The sequence below is a fragment of the Homo sapiens genome, chromosome 20 (assembly GCF_000001405.40).
Source record: "Homo sapiens chromosome 20, GRCh38.p14 Primary Assembly".
Lineage (NCBI taxonomy): Eukaryota > Metazoa > Chordata > Mammalia > Primates > Hominidae > Homo > Homo sapiens.
This window is the reverse complement of record NC_000020.11, coordinates 59933707-59952782: the sequence shown is the minus strand read 5'-3', so window position 1 is coordinate 59952782 and position 19076 is coordinate 59933707. Positions and strand designations below refer to the sequence as shown.

At 41.9% G+C, this 19076-nt stretch overlaps 2 protein-coding genes across 4 annotated transcripts, besides 5 other annotated features; one reads left to right on the top strand and one right to left on the bottom strand.

Moving 5' to 3' along the window:
* Positions 1–4102: 4102 nt before the first annotated feature.
* On the bottom strand, positions 4103–19004 carry FAM217B (family with sequence similarity 217 member B). Of its 3 annotated transcripts, NM_001190826.2 has the most exons (5): positions 18930–19004; positions 14671–14793; positions 10474–10585; positions 10271–10356; positions 4103–8843 (listed from the first exon to the last, which is right to left on the bottom strand). In NM_001190826.2, the coding sequence occupies exon 5, from the start codon at positions 8837–8839 to the stop codon at positions 7688–7690; it is 1152 nt and encodes a 383-aa protein (NP_001177755.1). In that variant the 5' UTR covers positions 8840–8843; positions 10271–10356; positions 10474–10585; positions 14671–14793; positions 18930–19004; the 3' UTR covers positions 4103–7687. The 3 variants fall into 3 exon arrangements, with proteins under 3 accessions (NP_001177755.1, NP_071389.1, NP_001177756.1); NM_022106.3 differs by lacking the exons at positions 14671–14793; positions 18930–19004 and adding an exon at positions 12248–12394; NM_001190827.2 differs by lacking the exons at positions 14671–14793; positions 18930–19004 and adding an exon at positions 12248–12394 and having other exon boundaries at positions 4103–8387.
* Positions 12157–12536: a silencer, noted in NCBI's record as "silent region_13092". NCBI's record gives its function as "represses an Ori minimal core promoter by ATAC-STARR-seq in GM12878 lymphoblastoid cells {active_cell/tissue: GM12878}" and the evidence as "EXISTENCE:reporter gene assay evidence [ECO:0000049][PMID:35858748]".
* Positions 12157–12589: a biological region, named in NCBI's record as "Sharpr-MPRA regulatory region 25".
* Positions 12295–12589: an enhancer, noted in NCBI's record as "tiled region #25; K562 Activating DNase unmatched - State 1:Tss". NCBI's record gives its function as "activates a minimal TATA promoter and a strong SV40 promoter by Sharpr-MPRA in K562 cells {active_cell/tissue: K562}" and the evidence as "EXISTENCE:reporter gene assay evidence [ECO:0000049][PMID:27701403]".
* PPP1R3D (protein phosphatase 1 regulatory subunit 3D) lies at positions 12478–16120 on the top strand. The gene has a single exon (NM_006242.4). It carries the CDS (start codon positions 12852–12854, stop codon positions 13749–13751), a length of 900 nt encoding a protein of 299 aa, NP_006233.1. The 5' UTR covers positions 12478–12851; the 3' UTR covers positions 13752–16120.
* Positions 12887–13016: a silencer, noted in NCBI's record as "silent region_13091". NCBI's record gives its function as "represses an Ori minimal core promoter by ATAC-STARR-seq in GM12878 lymphoblastoid cells {active_cell/tissue: GM12878}" and the evidence as "EXISTENCE:reporter gene assay evidence [ECO:0000049][PMID:35858748]".
* Positions 18456–18855: a silencer, noted in NCBI's record as "silent region_13090". NCBI's record gives its function as "represses an Ori minimal core promoter by ATAC-STARR-seq in GM12878 lymphoblastoid cells {active_cell/tissue: GM12878}" and the evidence as "EXISTENCE:reporter gene assay evidence [ECO:0000049][PMID:35858748]".

Below are 19076 nucleotides of genomic sequence, written 5' to 3'. Positions count from 1 at the left end.
TATAACTTATTGAAGGCATTTTCACTTTTTGCAAGTATATTCCAATGCTAATCATACTAGTGGTATGAATCGCCATGCTCTTTCTTCTATCATTTATGTTTGTAAATCAAGCTTGTTCAACCTGTGGCCCAGGACAGCTTTGAAAGCGGCCCAACATAAATTCATAAAATTTCTTAAAACATTATAATTTTTTTTGCATTTTTTGTTTTAGCTTAACAGCTATTGTTAGTGTTAGTGTACTTTATGTGTGGCCCAAGACAATTATTCTTCCAGTATGGCCCAGGGAAGCCAAAAGAATGGACACCCCTGACATAAATTGTTTATGCTTCTTTAGGAAAGGAGAAAATGAAGGAAAGGAAAGTAAAGGGGAAGATTTAAACAGCTGTTTTTATCTTCCTGCATCAAAAACTGTTCTGTTAAGGTGAACATATATACTTTAAAAAATCAGAACATCTTCAATTAAACTTGTTAAGCTATTTCAATATTATATAAATTCTACAAATAAAAAGCATTTCATTCCAGCATTTAGAAAACTGAAAACACCACGCGAGAAAAGCAAAGACTTCCTTTTCTTTCTCCTTGCTTTATTTAGGCAGAGTATCTCAAGAGATGGGTTTAGAGGAAAAGCTTGCTGACAGATGGTGAACACTCTTCTAATCCTGGACAAAATGACCAAGTGAGTGAAAGGAAAGAGACAAGGGAAGTCGAGTGAGTGTTCCACACCTGGAGTTTGAAAATCTAGGAGTCTGAATGTAAGGAAAATCAGATGAGGTGGTTAGGTGATCTAAGAAGCCCGAACGCTTATATTTTAAGTCTTTGATCCATCCTGAGTTGGTTTTTGTATAAGGTGACAGATAGGGATCCAGTTTCGTTCCTTTACATGTGGCTTGCCAGTTTCCTGAAACAATAAAAATTCTAGAAGACAACATTGGAAAAATTCTTCTAGACGCTGGCTTAGGCAAAGAATTCATGACTAAGACCCAAAAAGCAAATGCAACAAAAATAAAAATAAATAAATGGAACCTAATTGAACTAAAAAGCTTCTGCACAGCAAAAGAAATAATCAGCAGAGTAAACAGACAACCCCAGAATGGGAGGAAATATTTGCAAACTACACATCTGACAAAAGGAATAGTATGTAGAATCTACAAGTAACACAAACAAATCAGCAAGAAAAAACTAAGTAATCTCATTAAGAAGTAGGCAAAGGACATGAGTAGACAGTTCTCAAAAGAAGATACACAAATGGCCAAGAAAAACGTGAAAAAAGTGCTGAACATCACCAATCATCAGGGAAATGCAAACTAAAACCACAGTGAGATACCACCTTAATTCTGTAAAACTGACCATTATTAAAAACTCAAGAAACAATAGATATTGACATGGATGTGGGGAAAAAAGAATGCTTGTACACTGCGGATGGGAATGTAAATCAGTACAACCTCTATGGAAAACATATGGAGATTCCTTAAGGAGCTAAAAGTAGATCTACCATTTGATCCAGCAATCCCACTATTGGGTATCTGCCCTGGTACAGTTTGGCTGTGCCCCCAGCCAAATCTCATCTTGAATTATAGTCCCCATAATCCCCACATGTCATGGGAGGGACCTCTTGGGAGGTGATTAGATCATGGGGGTGGTTCGCATGCTGTTCTCCTGATAGTGAGTGAGTTCTCCTGAGATCTGATGGTTTTATAAGGGGCTTCCCCCTTCACTCAGCTCTCATTCTCCCTCCTGCCGCCCTGTGAAGCGGTGCCCTCCGCCATGATTGTAAGGTTCCTGAGGCCTCCTCAGTCATGTGGAACTGTGAGTCAGTTAAACCTCTTTTCTTTATAAATTACCCAGGCTTGGGTATTTCTTTATAGCAGCATGAGAACAGACTAACACATACCCAAAGGAAAAAGAAGTCATTATATGAAAAAGACACTTGCACACGTATATTTATAGCAGCACAATTCGCAATTGTAAAGATGTGGAACCAACCTAAGTGCCCATCAACTGAGTGGATAAAGAAAATGTGATATATATGTACACACACTCACACACGCACATATATATAGTATACTGTGGAATACTACTCAGCCATTAAAGGGAGCTAAACAATGTCTTTTGCAAAACCTTGGATGGAGCTGGAGGTCATTATTATTATTATTATTATTATTTGAGACAGAGTCTTGCTCTGTCACCCAGGCTGGAGTGCAGTGGCACGATCTCAGCTCACTGCAGCCTCTGCATCCCGGGTTCCAGGATTCTCCTGCCTCAGCCTCCTGGGTAGCTGGGATTACAGGCGCATGCTACCATGCCTGGCTAATTTTTGCACTTTTGGTAGAGACAGGGTTTCGCCTTGTTGGCCAGGCTTGTCTCGAACTCCTGACCTCATTATTCTAACTGAAGTAACATAGGAGTGGTAAACCCAAATCTTTATGTTTTCACTTAGAAGTGGGAGCTAAGCTATGAATATGCAAGGGCATACAGAGTGACATATGGACTTTAGAGACTCAGTAGGGGAAAGTTGGGAGGGAGGCTGGCGATAAAAAACTGCACATGACGTACAATGTACACTACTCGGGTGACAGGTGCACTAACATCTCAGAATTCATCTCTATATAATTTATCCATGTAACAAAAAACCGCTTGTACCCTAAAAGCTATTGAAAAAAATAAATAAATAAACTTCAACTCCTTAGCATTCACTTGTGGAGCAGATTTTATCAGAGGCCGTGAATCATTCATTTAGGCAACCTGTTAGGTAAGCAGCCAGCCCAGTGCCTTTAAACTACGGAGAAAATAGGGCTAGATAAGCAAATGGCTTGCTTGAGGGGGAGAGGGCCTACCAGCTACTCACCCACCATAAAGGTAGTCACTCAAACTTGCAGACTTAAGTACCAGGAAAGCAGATTTCTCAAACTTTAATGTGCCAAGGATTTTGTTAAAATGCAGACTTTGACTCAGTAGGTCTAGGGAGGAGCTCACATGAAATTGTCCTCGCTTAATGTAATCTAAAGTTAAATATGTGTTATTTGTTTGCTCTAAAATCTCATTTAAGCTAGGGCAATTATTTATGACTATTCCATTTTTAATTCCATATATATTTTCCAGTATTATTACAGTAATTCCTTATACATTAAATTGCTGAAGACAAAAATATTCAAATTGCATTTTATGAAACAGGGATCTCTGTGAAGATTTTTATAAATTGATGATTTATGTTACTTCATTGAGGACGATTCTATGCTGGATACAGTGTTTTATGATGTGAGACTGTTCAATGAATCAAAGAGAATCCTCCACAGCACCTAACTGCATATGATAAACCACTGTATTCTCTGATGGCAGAGTGAAGTTAAATAAAGAACATGCTTTGGGCCTGAAGTCAAAAAGTCTTTTTCTCTCCATTTCTTTTTGATTCCAGTAAAAACCTTTTTATTTGACTAGAAGGTACTCACAGGCCAAATTCACTGCTATCTGAAAGGGTTTGGTCGCCACCTTGTGGATAATAAAACAGCAACAGCCCAAAATAATACATTTCCTGTACAAAAAAAAAAAAAAAAAAGATTTTAAACCTCCAGCGTGGTTAATTTTCAAAACATATCCAAAAACTTACTTTTTAAGCCACTGAACATTACTGCCACAATTTGGTAGACTCAAAAGAATGCACCCTATTGTCAGAGTGAAGTTAGAAAGAAGAGCAAAGGGCTTTTGAGAATGTTTGCAGCTGGAGCTGCTCAAAACTGCTATCTCCTAACCAGGCCACTTCCTTGAAAGAGATGGTACTCGTTTCCGGATATGTACATAAAGGTGCAAGTTCATTACATCACAGGTTACCTTAATTTATGCTTACTGAATTTGCATCCTGCTACCCTAATTAATCCTCAACATGGAGTAGTAAGTGGAAGAGCGACTCAAGAAATGTACTGCAATGCTTCTCTGATATATCCGGTAATGTTAACCTGTGCTTTGGCCACCCATGTCGCTTAGTGTTAAGACAGGAGTTGTAACAGCATTTCATCCTGGGCAATTCCTTTAAATAACCAGGGAGAAAATAAAGGCAAGCTTCAGAAGAGAACTGCATGAAAAGCAAAACAAAACAATACCAGAAAAATCCAGACAATATTTTTCTGCTGTTTAATTGATCTCAAGGAAGGAGAAATTCAAGTCCACAAAAACTTACATCAATTCTGTTTATCACATACAAAACTAAACATACAATATAACAGCAAATAACAAACATGCTGAATATTTTCAAGCCATTTTGAATGGTGTCCTGTACATGTACATAAATAATACATACTGCTTCTGAATTACCTTAAAATACAGTACCACCAAGAGTTATATTTCTATGTAACTACTCCATAAGTGAGCATAAAGGAATGAGGAAGTAGACGATATCCATATCAGATAAAGTAGAAAGTCTTATGTCCTTCTGAAAAGCAACACAGTAGGCCCAAGAACAACTACAAACCATTTTCCTTTTAGCTAGGAGGTATATGGCAAGACCAATGATATTCTCTTCCCCATCCTTTTTGTCACAGGGTATGAAGTCTATCCTATTCAAGTTAGTTACAAGTCTTCAGCCCATTTAGTCATCTAAGAAGTTGAGAAAGTCTAAACCTAAGTAATCACAGCAAATACTGCAAATACTGATATACTTTTAGTTCATTTTTGTACTTTTTTACATTTTTTCCATTAGATAATTCTAAGCCTAAAATATTTTTCTTTTTCTTTTTCTTTTTCTTTTTTTTTTTAAAGAAACTTGGATTGTTTTAATTGGTTTAAATGCAGGGTATATGTAAACAACTCCCCAGAAATGAGAGGCACTTCTCGGAAATACAATAACCCATGTCACTAGACTAGCAAAACACTCAGTGCTTTTGACTTGATGAATTGAATGAGTTCATGATTCAACTTTCTAATGTTGTCTACTTGAAAAATAGCAAGATTCTTATCTGCAGCATTTAATGCATTAAGATGTATTAGATAGGCATATCAGATATCATAAAATTAAAATTGTGCTTATGTTAATTCTGTAATAGACCTAACTTTAAAACACCTCATGTTATTCACTAGGAGCTATGATCTAGTCGTGACAATATTGGTTAAAATAGTCAATCTGAGGCAGAAAGTAAACAAGCAAAGTCACTTTTGCAGGCTTTTTAAACTGTATAACACATGAAATTATGACTATTCCCCAGATTATGCAACCAGCTTCAATTTAAAAAGCTGGGAACAAATATTATGAGGCGTTACTTCTCAATTTCTTTCTTTTTCTTTTTTTTTTGAAACGGAGTTTCCCTCTTGTTGCCCAGGCTGGAGTGCAATGGCACGATCTTGGCTCACCACAACCTCCGCCTCCCGGGTTCAAGAGATTCTCGTCTCAAACTTCCGAGTAGCTGGGATTACAGGCATGCACCACCACACCCGGCTAATTTTGTATTTTTAGTGGAGACAGGGTTTCTCCATGTTGGTCAGGCTGGTCTTGAACTCCCGACCTCAGGTGATCCGCCTGCCTCGGCCTCCCAAAGTGCTGGGATTACAGGCGTGAGCCACCACGCCCAGCCACCTCTAAATTTCTTAATCACGATTGTTTTCAGCTCAGACATACACAAGGCAAGTAGAATTACTAATAAATCACTTTACCCTCAACCATTCAAGGTCTCTAAGAGCATGCACATGGATACATGACGGGGAAAGGCAGCAACTCAGCATAAACACTTTAGTATTAACATAAGGAGTATATATACATATACACATATGTATAGAATATCTTGCTTTTGAATATCTATGGGCCATGAAACTTCATAGAGAGCTGCATAAAAATCTAGCAGAGAAAGGATCATAAGTGAAGTGCCAGCCATGGATAACAGACTAATCTGTGCTCACAAAAAAGGGCAGGCAAGGAACACACAGACATCACTCAGGAACTACAGGAAAACTAAGCGTAGTGCTGTTTTCCAAATATAAAACATATACTAAGTACAAAAGTTATAGTAAATTTGAGGACTACGGAAGTAATACTTACTATATGTACATCTTTTGTTCACATAAAAAGCTTAAAGTAAGATCTTAGCATAAAAGTATGCTTTCTCCAGTAGGATGGTGTGAGAGGGAAAGAATGTAAGAAGGAACTTGTACAAGTCTGAAAATTAAGTCTTGAAAGTAAAAGGCTACCATAAAAAATATTATGTCATTTGGTATGATCAAAATCAGATTTTAAAAGACCTTAAAATATAACCCTTGCACATTGTTTTTTATAATTATATACGTATAATTAGAGCTACATAATCTTGTCTTTATGCTGTTTTTGATATTTTTTCAGACATTTACTGCTGTCTGAAAAGTTTACAAGCTATTATATGTTCCCAAATGAAAAATGCCAAGTTTTTCATTTGCCCCCAAGGTGAAAAAATTGAAACCTCTACGTCAAAAACAAATACAGTAATTGTTTAAAGGGATAAAATCAACTATAATGACATGGGCCGTATTAAAATACACTGCGCAAATATGAACAGAAAACTCACAGCACAACTATAGGAACAAGAAGATGTTATTTAACTGCAGTGAAATAAGAAGGCTTGGAGAGAGTTGGGAAGCCTGAAGACCAGATAAGCGAGTTTAGAATTCATTCAGCAACCTTACTCATATTCCACTCTCCCGCCCCTCACCCCAAGCAAAATAATAAAATCCTGCTCTTGCAAACTGAAACAGATCATTATTTTTGACTAAGGACCACAGGGTGTGGAACCCAAATCAGTAACTTTGTAACTATTACACTGAATGTAGGTCCATGTGTTTTGATCCTTTTACAGGCCCTTCCTTTACAAATTGTAAAGAGTGATTTCCCTGGGGTGCCTCTCTGGAGAAGCTTTACATGCCAGCAATTCCAGAATGTCAAATATTTCATTCTCAGCCCCACCAAACAGCAGTAATCATGCTAAGCCCATTGACTTTGGAAAATTCTGCAAGTTATTTTAACCTCAGTTCGGAGAACTCAAAAGTAGGTTTTACCACCACCTCTAAGTTTAAAATGCCCCTCAAAAAAGAAAAAAAAAACCATGTCAGAGAAAATGTATTAAAGTACTAGATTCCACTGTCTCTCTAGAAAGCAACCAGCTTAGTGAGAAATGACTACTCAAAATACAAACTCACTACTCCCTGACTTGAGGAAGAACTAAAGCTTCTCCTAAGGGTAAAATGAACAGAAATTTTGCTTGAGGAGTTTATAAAAAAGTAAGCGAGGGAGTGGGCAAGAAGGACCTTATTTTAAACATTTAGGATTCCACACCATTTGAAACAGTCTGCACTATTTCATATACTTACGTGCATGTGAAAATGGGGAGGTAACACCACTAGCTGCTCTACACAGACCGGCTACTGTAGCTGAGGTTTCACTGACACTTTCCCTGGAGAGGTGCCATTTTATTCCTTTATATGGCACATATTTTACATAATTTTTATCTAAAGGGCTCTCATTTGCCTAAGACTGACAATACAAAGAAAGGCTTATTGAAAGACACTTCCCTTTGAAAATAACCCCACTCAGGGTAGAAATAAAGGTGGACAAAAATGCCAGTCAACTACTTAAATGTCAGTATTTGTAAAATTCCTTAAAATTCACAGTATTTTGACTTTTGGAAGCGCTCTAACATTGAGGTACCTGCAGGTCTTGGCAATTCAGCATTTTAGATATTTATTTTAGTTTATATGTGTTTTGCTTTACTCCGTTTGTTTTCAGTTTTTTCTCACTCGATACAGTGGCATGACCACAGCTCTCTGCCTTTCCCTTTTTCCTAGGATGTGCATGTGCTTGTGTTTTGGAGGCCTTACAGGAATCTGCTGAGTCCAGAATCACAGCTGCCTGTTTGGGAACTCGAATGTGACCGCTGGTTTCCACCTTAGAGCTGCTTCCACTGCCGGACAGATCCCAGCGCTGCAGCTTCGTACTCTTACTTGATTTCTTTTTCTTTTCTTCTGTCCTCATTTCAAGGGTTTGCCTCTGAGAACAAAACCTGGTACCACCAAGCACATCAATGGGTCTAGGGGAAGTCTCAAATGCATAATGTGATGGGTGGATTTCTTCATGGTGAAAAGCTTTCTTTCGGGAAGGGCCTGACTTTGAAGCCCCTTCCTGGTGAGGTAGTGGCTTGGACAGAGCACTAGCAATTAGCTTACTTCTCCCAGGGCTTTTCAGTGCCCCTGAGGTCCCAGGGGCAGTGGGGGGCCTTGCTTTGCCCCCCTTTGCTTTTTCACACTGTACAGTCTGGACTTGCAGCCACTCAAGCTGAATAAGTCTATCGATATACTTCCCAAGAAGTCCTCCCACTCGGGGCACGGCTTCCGTTTTGTTCTCTGCGTTCAGAAGCAGGGCCATATCTCGTAGGTCCCAGGAGCTGAAAGGGGATGGAAGGAAATTAGGATAATAGTATTCAGGTTTTGTATGGCCCTGACCAGGGTGAAGATCAAAGTAAACTGGATCAATTTCTTCAGCTCGAAGATTGAGATCTGGAGGTGTGAGGGGAGAAGGAGGAATGGGAATTCTTTCCGAATCAGAGAGATCACTTGCACTGTCCTCATCAGCATTCTCTTTAATAATTTTCATTGACTGAAAATCAAGAAACAGTTTATTCCCTGAGGCCCCCTGACACCTGGAACCGAGTGGATTCCTTTTGCGTCTTGCTTCCGGGGAAATGCTTTCTTTAAGTTTTTCTTCAGTAGGCTGGGTGACAGCTGTGAGGCTGCTTCTCGGCTGGGAAGAAGCGTGGGGTACTTGGGATTTACTCTGCCTTTTTCCTGAAGAATTCTTTGAATGTTGCACTTTATTCCAAGATGGGCCAGCATTCATATTGCTGTGAGAAAATAAAACTGCAATTCTTACCACATATGACAAAAAATGGTCTGGCTATAATTAAACAAACAAAAAGAATCTTCTAGTTGTACTTTTTTTTGTCTCAGCTATTAGTAGGCATTAGAAAATGTCAGCTTCCAAACTCCTTAAAGCATAAGTAATTTTACAGAACATTTTCCCATATAATACTCTATTTGAGATACATTATATAATGCATGTGACAAAAGAGAATGCACAGTTTCCATTTTATATCAAATATTAGCATTTAGGAAAAACATTAACATTTCTCAAAGTGCTTGTTTCATACTTTCGTGTGTACTTTAAAAAAAAAACATTAGTTTGGAAAAAATCAGTCGTAGAACTCTGGAATTGTTACCATCAAAAGCATTTAATAACATTCAGAAGTAAAAACAGTTTTATTTTATACACCTATTTTAAATTAAGTGTAAATATCAAATAAACATGCAAGTTTTGCAGTTTAATCACTGATTGGTGGCGATTCTGAGCTGAGTGAAATTTTAATATATAAAAGTATTGCACATACAAACCTGTACCTTAAATCAAAAGCTTGTTACAATGTTTTCAAACAGAAAACACATTTGGGAAAATTGTGTTTAAAGAACAGAAATAAAATCATATGGTGCCCTGTAACACATATGAATGAAAACACAGGGTCTTAGTGTTACCTTGTGAATAGCAGGTAAAGGGAATAATGAATACTGTGTGCATTATGAGTATAGAAACTAATTCTCTCTGGCATAATTTATTCTGATGCTGAATCTCACATCAGAGTTGAAAATATCCTCTTTTCAATTTATTTACCAAGAACGTGGCATTTAAGATTAATAATACTTCTCTGTAATATAAGTCAGATAGAATGAATAGAAATGGGTGGTAAACATGCTTTCTGGAAACTTCAGAGGTTCATTTGCCCAGTGGTTTCAAACAACCTAAGCAACTATTTGAATACGTGCTACATTTTAATTAATAAATATGCAGGACATTAAATCATTGCCAATAGTACAACGTGTGCTCAATAAATGTTGAATAAATGAAGAAATGAAGGAATCTCCATTATTCAGAATTCATAACACTGTTAAAACATTTTGTTCCTGCCTGTCAGTATGCATCCATAAAAATTAATTATTGTCACTATCCTTTTATATAAAAGGAAACTAACATAGAAAAGTGATTAAAGGACTTACTCAAAATTATAATTCTGCTAACAACTGCCAGAATTATGACCGTTGGAATCCTTATCCACTATTATGCTTAAACCACTTTTCTATTCATTTCTGCTAGAAAAAAATTATAAATGTATATTTCTTATCTATAGACATACTTTTTTCCCCACTCCACATATTCAATCTGGACAACAGAGATAATGAGTCTTTTGCAAGATAAAGCAATTATACTAAAACTATTTACCTGCTTTTCTGATGAGATTCATTCACCCTATTCCTCTTCTTGAAAAAATCACGTGGCTGATCATCATCTCGGGTTTGATGGACTGTCTAAAAACAGGGATGCAGTAATAAACACTGTGAACATGTACACAAGAAACAAGCAAGCAAACAAACAAAAATCCCAGAATAAATCTAAGTCAGATTTTTCTTCTAAGTTTACATTACCTTTCCTGTAGTGCTCAAAATATTCTTGCTCAATCTGCTGGAAGATGATGACAGCTGGGGAGGTGACTTCTTTATTCCTCTTATATTTGGAAAGGTCTCCTCACCACCGGAACTAGAAGCAACAGAATACTGTCAGTAACTATTGATTGCAAATGGTCCTACCACCAGTATCGGGTTGGTTTTTCACTTGTTTTTTAATACTTGTATAATATTGAAATATTAAGGCTGTGATCATATAGTGGTTTGCACTCTAGGTTATGAAATACTGGGGAAGGGAGACATTGTCTTATGCTTACAGCTTTGTCTTTTCTGCTTATTACAGTAGATATTAGAGACAGGATCACAGGATCACACTACTATAAATACTGTGAATGGATTCCATCTCTCTCTCTCTCTCCCTGTTCACACACAGGTATAATCTTCCTTGGAAATAATATGTTGAAGAAATCTGGAAGGCTAAATAAGGTCAGGTCTTATTACAGCGTTCAATCATTGCATTGCCCAATCATTCATTCATGCAACAAATAATTACAGGAGTACCCAGAAAAATGGCAATGATTATGCACGTCCCTGTTCAGAAGGAGCTTAAACTCTAGGAGGAACGTTCCCATTCAATTTTTCGGCCTTCTCTATCACATCAATCCATTATAAGACTTTCCATATATTCATACATATTACATATTATATATCATCTCTTTATGAAGCATTGTTGACCTATACCACATATTGCTGTTATTCCCCTCTCATTTTGAGTGGCCTATTAAAAGTGCACTGAATGGAAATTGGATACTTCTCTTTCCCGTATCACCTGTCTCTGTAAAATAAAAGAGATGATTATAGAAGATTTTTATTTTCTTCCTGAAACTTTCCTGTATTTTTCCCACATTAATCATGTAAGCCTTTTTAGTTAGCTTACATCCAATGATAAATAAAATCATTCTCTCACATTTCATGAATTATACCACAATCAACAGCCTTGACTCATTTTAGATGCAACGAATGTTCTTGAATCAACCCCCTTTCATTAGTCTGGTTTTCTTTCTGCTTTGTCCCTCTGGACAATAAAAAGGAACCTTCTTAATGGAATGGCTGGCCCCAAACTGCTCTCTGGAAAGTGCACTTGCATCTTTTCTACTTCATTTCACCTGGTATGCTTTACACCAAAGGCTGTGGGGTTTTGTGCTCAAAGCTACCGGGTGAGAGACACGAATGCCTGCAGGGTTCTAAATAGGCAGAAAACAAGCTCCAGGCCTTGCTGGTGTTTCTGGCTTGCTTGGAAACAAAGCTAAAAGTCGGAGATTCTGGCTACAAATATGCTCCCCAAGCGCCAGAGGCTGATTAAGGGCAGCTGCAGAAGTCATCAGCGGGTAATAACTCTTGTTCCCCTGTCTTCCTCTCTGGCGCGGAGTCCAGGAAGACAACAGCAGCACCTCCCCTCCCCACCCTCAAGGGAATCTGCTGGCCATTCGGTGCGGCAAAGCATTCTGGGTGATGTGGACATGACGCTGCTCCTCTACGCAGTGAGGCTCCCTCGGTCTGACCAAGGGTCCAGGTTGCAGTGAACCTGTCCAAAGTGTGGGCTGGCCTCGATGTTTAAAATTAGCCTGAGACCAGCTCCTGGCAAGGCCGGTTTTTGCACCACCGCTCCCCCCATCCACAACCCAGAAATCTAAGGACACGCAGCATGCATTTTCCTTGTCCTCCGTTTGTGCAGACAAAGTCTATGATCGATAGGCGCGCAATCCAGGCAGACGTAAACAGAAATTGATCAGACCTGTTTCGCGACTGCAGCGGACACGTGACGAGGCTGCCAGCCTTCCTTCCTCTCCGGCGCCCGCGCGGGGACGCCCGGCTGCGGCGCGCTGCGGCAGGGGAGCTGGAGGCGGAGGCGCGCAGCTCCGCTGAGCTCCCTGGCTGAGCTGAGGCCGGCGGGGGCCCGCCTGCAGGCGGCGTCACGAGGGGCGGGGCGGAGGCTCGCTAGGAAGTTGCACCCGGTCAAGTTGCAGCCTTGTAAGTAACGCCGCGGACCGGGAAAGTGGGAGGGGCCGCTCCCGGAACGCAGCCTTCTTGTAAGAACCTCCAAGGAAGCAAGAAGAAAAAAGAGGCGCTACCCTGCGCTCCCGGGAGGCCTCTGAAAGCTTCCACTAGAGAAAAACTCCCCACTCTTACAATTTCTTTAACCGCAAGAAGCGGAGGACCTGGACAAGGACTCGAGGAGCAAGGTGGCGAACCAAGGGTAGGGCGCACCGGGCCCGAGAGGTCCCCCGCAGGTTGCAGATACGGTGGACTCTCTGCGGCTTCTGAGCACGGAGGGAGCTGTCGCGGGGTCGGGAGGTCGTCTCTCATCCCTGCCTCATCTTCCGACGGCCGGCGGGGCCATGTCCAGAGGCCCGAGCTCCGCGGTCCTGCCTAGCGCCCTGGGATCCCGGAAGCTCGGCCCCCGGAGCCTCAGCTGCCTGTCGGACCTGGACGGCGGCGTGGCCCTGGAGCCGCGGGCCTGTAGGCCCCCTGGGAGCCCGGGCCGCGCGCCGCCGCCAACGCCAGCGCCGTCGGGCTGCGACCCCCGCCTGCGGCCCATCATCCTGCGGCGGGCGCGCTCACTGCCCAGCTCCCCCGAGCGCCGCCAGAAGGCCGCGGGCGCGCCGGGCGCTGCGTGTCGGCCGGGCTGCAGCCAGAAGCTCCGCGTGCGCTTCGCCGACGCCCTGGGCTTGGAGCTGGCACAGGTCAAGGTGTTCAACGCGGGAGACGACCCGTCCGTGCCGCTGCACGTGCTGTCGCGGCTCGCAATCAACTCGGACCTGTGCTGCAGCAGCCAGGACCTGGAGTTCACCCTGCATTGCCTGGTGCCCGATTTCCCGCCGCCCGTCGAGGCCGCCGACTTTGGCGAGCGCCTGCAGCGGCAGCTCGTGTGCCTGGAGCGTGTCACTTGCTCGGACCTTGGCATCAGCGGTACGGTGCGCGTGTGCAACGTGGCCTTCGAGAAGCAGGTGGCTGTGCGCTACACTTTCTCGGGCTGGCGCAGTACCCACGAGGCGGTGGCGCGGTGGCGCGGGCCCGCAGGCCCCGAGGGCACGGAGGACGTTTTCACCTTCGGCTTTCCAGTACCGCCCTTCCTGCTGGAGCTCGGCTCCCGCGTGCACTTCGCGGTGCGCTACCAAGTGGCGGGTGCCGAGTACTGGGACAACAACGACCACCGAGACTACAGCCTCACATGTCGCAACCACGCGCTGCACATGCCTCGCGGGGAGTGCGAAGAGAGCTGGATCCACTTCATCTGAGCCGCGCGGGGACCGGCCACCTGGAGCCTCCACACCTAAGCTGCGCCTCCTGTCATTTCCCTGCTGGGCTCTCACATCTATCTGGTTGTTCTTCACCACCCTCCAAGTCCTCTGACCTAATTTTCTGCTGCAAGGTCCCCTGGCAGTGGCCCATCCTGTCTTCTACTTGAAACGTCTGAGTCACTTGGTCTAAAAAGTAGCCTCAGGTGGCCAGAAGGCCGAGTTGTGTAATGAGTTGGGGCAGGGTGGTGGGGTAGGTGCATGGGAGGGTGGGCCCTCTGGGGAGGCCCAAGCAGCTTGTTTTGCAAAGGCCCAAGTCCTCCTGCTAGGAAAAGCTTTTGCATGTGTCCTGAATGTGTCTCTGTAAACATAGCTGTTATTTATTATTGTGATGTTGGGACCTTTAGCCCATAGCGGATGCCTCCTCAGGAATATTCTCGATTTAATAAGCTAAAAAAAAAAAGTTCTGTGTTTGTGCCCACAGTAAACAGAATGTACAGTGTGACCCACATCGTGGTCCCTCCAGGCATTCCTGCCCCAGGATAAGGAAAACCTGAGCCCACATCTGATTGCCAACGGCTGTAGCCTTCTAACAGTGGGAAACTATTAATAGGCAAGAAATTTCTGCTTTATCAGTCATCACACAACCATTCCTGGGCATTGAGACTGTCCTGGTTAGGCTGTGTGTCTCCTACATTAACAGCTGGGGAGGAGGGAAAAGCTTCAGACTTTTAAACTAGCAAAACAGTTATTTCTCTGCATTCACAATTCTGATTTCATGTATTTCTCTGTACATGTTTGATCATTATCAGGCCATTCTGTTTAAGTTTGAAACTAAGCATTTTAAGAAGTCTTGCCTCAGTTATTTCAGTTTTCAGGTGACTAGAGAATTTCAGGCAACAGTGCCCTTTGCAATTACCTTTTTGATGATTAAGGTGACTATTTTTATTTCTTGTTAAGCATCAGAAGATGTCAGCATTCATCTTTTGGGAGTCCAGTTACAAGGTGGAACTAGAAGGTGTTTTCAGCAATAGCCAGAGCACTGGAGGAAAAATAATTGACAAATATTTATACTTTTAAATTGTTTTGAACTGTATTTACATACATCATGTTTTATCAGGTACCCACCAACTTTATACTTTCTGCCTTCAGATAGAGTTTCTAACATTTTCTAGTTTGTCAGTTTTAAAATATAAAATTCTTTTATGTTTTTAAACCGTCAACCAAGAAGTCAAGACCACTGTCCCCTGCTGAGTTAGGCAATCACTTAAAACTCCAAAGAACTCCAGGCTGAGGAGTTCTTTTGGTGCTGAACAGTGGTCTGACAACAGGTGCTAGAATTAAGGTGTGGGAAAAAAAAAAAAACAGCCAGGAAGGACAAGATCTCCAATTTGTGAAGCTTATGATACAGCTGAAACCAGTCTGATCAATTTTATGCTACCTGTCACCAAGAAATTAACTCTAAATTTTTGAATGCTTGTTGGCATCTGTCAAATCAATACTGAAAGGATGCATTTCGGCTTTTAACCAGTTTGGTTCTGATCATTGCAACCTCTGTGCTTTTATAATTCAAAGAACAAGGATAGCTTTCTTCGGTATCTTTTAATATAAGAACACTGAATTTTGGCTTGAAATATTGTGACTAAATTGCACAATCTCTGGCTATTAGCACTGTTCACTACATTAACATGCAAGAGAGAGAGAAGCCTTGTTACATTTCCTGCTATTTAACAAACTGTCCAATTAGGTCAGCAAGCCTGTTAGGGCCTTCACTGCTACGCCCCTGGCCCCAAAACAGAGAGCAAGACAGTTGTCCAGAGAATTTAGATATGAGTTAAGAGCTGCCAGATTTATTTTAAGGCATGTAGAGAATCTCATAATCTATGTGAAAGTCACTTGCCAAAAAGGTTTTGGTTATGAAAGTGAATGTTATATATTTAATATTAAGTGAACCTCCCGTGCCTTTTAAAAAATACCAACATTATGAAATTTAAAAGCTTAAATATATTTGCCTAGTTGATAAAGAGGCTGTGGAACAACTGAAGGAGAACTTTCAGACCCTAAAACAGTTATATTACTTAGATGTTAAAATTTTCTAGTGGGCTGTGCAATTGCTGGGTTGTCCCCCCAAACATATTTTAATATGTTATTTAAAATGATTTTACCCAAGCCTAAGTATTAAAGTATATGTGCAAAAACAGTTGTGAGCCATTCTATTATGCTTCAGTATGTTTTTCTTGTGGCCTAATTACAGAAGACCAAGCTTTAGAAACTTCTTGTCTAAATCATTTCACATGCAAGTCTTATCCTTTCTACAACACTGATAAACGTAGAGCCTTGGCAAAAATAAATTTTGTCATTGTGCCTCAGCGTCAGTAGCAGAGTTGTTGTATGTGTCTTTGAGAAAAGGAAATGCAATTTTATATGCCAGGTCAGCATGAGGTATGAAGAAAGCTCTAGGGGAATACAGGGAATGTGATCATTAATGTACTTCTCTTACAACAGTTAATGACACTGTGCAGGCAGTAATGAGTGTCTGTCTGTCTGCCTTCCGGATCGTGACCCTCACCTAAGTACAAAGTCTTGCACATGGGGGAAGAAAACTTACATTTATTTTGTCTTCCCTTATTTGCTTGGCCACAGTGCTAAGTGCTTTAAATATGTGATTTCATTTAATTCTGAATGTTATGCTACCTGGTAGACAATATCCCCTTTTTCTTAGCTGAAAATAAAGCTCAGAGTGGTGTAAGTACAGCCATAGGCCACATAACATTTCACTCAACAGGGTAACTGTATATATGACGTGGATCCATGGAATTATACCAGATTTTTTTCCGTATCTTTTCTGTGTTTAGATACACAAATACCCTTGTGTTACAGTTGTCTACCGTATTCACTGCAGTAACATGCTGTATACAGGTTTGCAGCCTTGAAGCAATAGACTGTACTATATATACCTGAGGTGTGTAGTAGGCTATACCATCTAGGTTTTTGTAAGTAAACGCTAAGATATTCACACAATAACAAAATTGCTTGAGGAGGACACCTTTCTCAGAACTTACCCCTATCATTAAGCAATACATAACTGTAATTCACCTAAAGTCCCATAGCTGGTAAGTAACAAATTGAACATTGAAACCTGTTTCAAAGTCAATGCTCTCTCTACCTGTTATATGACATATAGAATATTGCAAATAAATGCTTGTTGATTCAGAAAGCTAAATTAATTGAACGCCACATTATGATATTTCTCTTTTTTGAGAGAAGGTCTTGCCTTGTCACCAACGTTGGAGTGCAGTGGTGCAATCATAGCTCACTGCAGCCTCCAGCTCCTGGGCTCAAGCAGAATTCTCCTACCTCAGCCTCCGGCGTAGAGCAGCTAGGTGCACAGGCACATGCCACCACGCCTGGCTAATTTTGTTTTTTTGTAGAGATAGGGCCTAGCTATGTTGCCCAGGCTAGTTTCAAATTCCTGGCCTCAAGCAATCCCATCAACTCAGCCTCCCAAAGTGCAGGGAGTATATGTGTGAACCACGGCACATAGTTTCCAAATTTTGATTATAATTGAGAAGGTTTTTCATGAAATGCCACGGTCTAAAACCTTTAAAAAAAATTAACAGTAAAATTAATGATATCCTTTTTTTCTTCCATGTTGTAGTTTACGGATGTTTACTAAATAATCCGCAGGCTTCCTGAACACATGAAGCAATAAAAAAGACTAACATTTTTCTTCAACTAAAAAGCGGCAAGGTAAAAAATCATCACTATTAATTTTTGAAGTGTATTAGGAAAATTTCTGTGCGTTCGCAACTCCACCATGAAGGATCTTAGATCTATTGGCGGAAAACTAGGTATGAAAATAATTATGCAAAATTGCCAGGTCACAATTTTGAAGCACTCTTCGATCTTCTTACATTTTGTGTTATACATTATTAGTACTTAAACGTATAATTCAAAAGCATTGAAAGCTTTGAACATATAAAATCCCCTCAAATCCCTGCGTACACCTGTGTACCTTAGATTGCATATGTAATCTGTCAGCTCTGAATTAAAAAACTAAGATATCAAAATTAAGTTCAATGGGGGTAGTTACAAAGTTGTCAAGAAGTTGGTAATTCTAGCTAAGCAGAATATTTAAAACACCTCTGAGAGCTTATTTACTGTGATTTGATCTGCTCTGGTCCACAACTGAGCTTTGATTCTATTACCTTGTGTTTATTTTTTTCAGGTGCTTTCCACCGCACATTTAAATCTTAATCCCATATTTTTAAACAATTAGTGCCTTTTAGATAAGAAATTAAAATGTTATTAAAATATAATTTTAAATTTTGATTTGAAGATACCTATAAAAGTTTAACTACACATACAATTCAACTTTTAAAAATTGATCCGACACAAATATTAATCCAAAGGTGGTTTGCTGCAGTATTATTTGTAATAGAAGTGTAGGCTCATCAGTGGAGGATTGAATTCCTCGGATGAAGTTAATCCACATGATTAAATAATTACGAAGCTGTTAGAAAGACCGAGCTGCATCTCAGTGCACGTGGAACAGTTTCCATCTCAGAACGCGAGCACGGGGAAAACACGCAGAAGACTGAGCGCCGAACACCGACGCCCTCTGCGAGCCAAGGGGCAAGGAGACCCTTTCGCGGCTGTGCCTGTCTCAGAAGGGCCTGCGATTTTTTACACAAGCACCCGCTGGCTGCATAAGTTAAACGGATCTCTTAAATGGAAGCGTCTGAAAGAGCCTAGGAATACACAGTTGGGTACCCAGCTCAGCACCCCGTCTCCGGACCTGCGGTCTCTCCCGCCCTCCGGCACCCGCACCCAGGAGCCCAGGCGGCCCTGCGCCCCCTGCCGGCAGGAGCCAGGCCTCACCCAGGAGTCGTCGGCCCGGCGCCCTGGTCCCCCGGTCCAGCTCGCCCCTGCAGGGCTGGCTGGAGCCGCGGGTCCCAGTGGCTCTGGGGACGCATAGCGCGGGGATGGGCTTCTCCTGGTCCCGCCCGCGCTTCCGTCCCTTCCATCCCTTCCTGCTCGCCTGTCCCGGGACCAGGGCCCCAGTCAAGGCAGCGAGTCTCCTCGCTGGCGGGGGTGACTCCGCTCGCGGGGCGTTCATCAGGAGAGCATAGCGCGAGAGGACGGGCCGAAGCGCGGGGACAGCGGGGACCCACTAACCTGAGGGCCTGGCCTGAGCCGCGCCCACAGCGTCCCCCTTGGCTCAGGCCTCGGGCGACCCCGGCGAGCGTTGGCGGGGGTGGGGGGGATGGGGGGGGCGGGACCTGGCTGGCGGCGACGCCGATTGGACGCACTATCGACCGCACC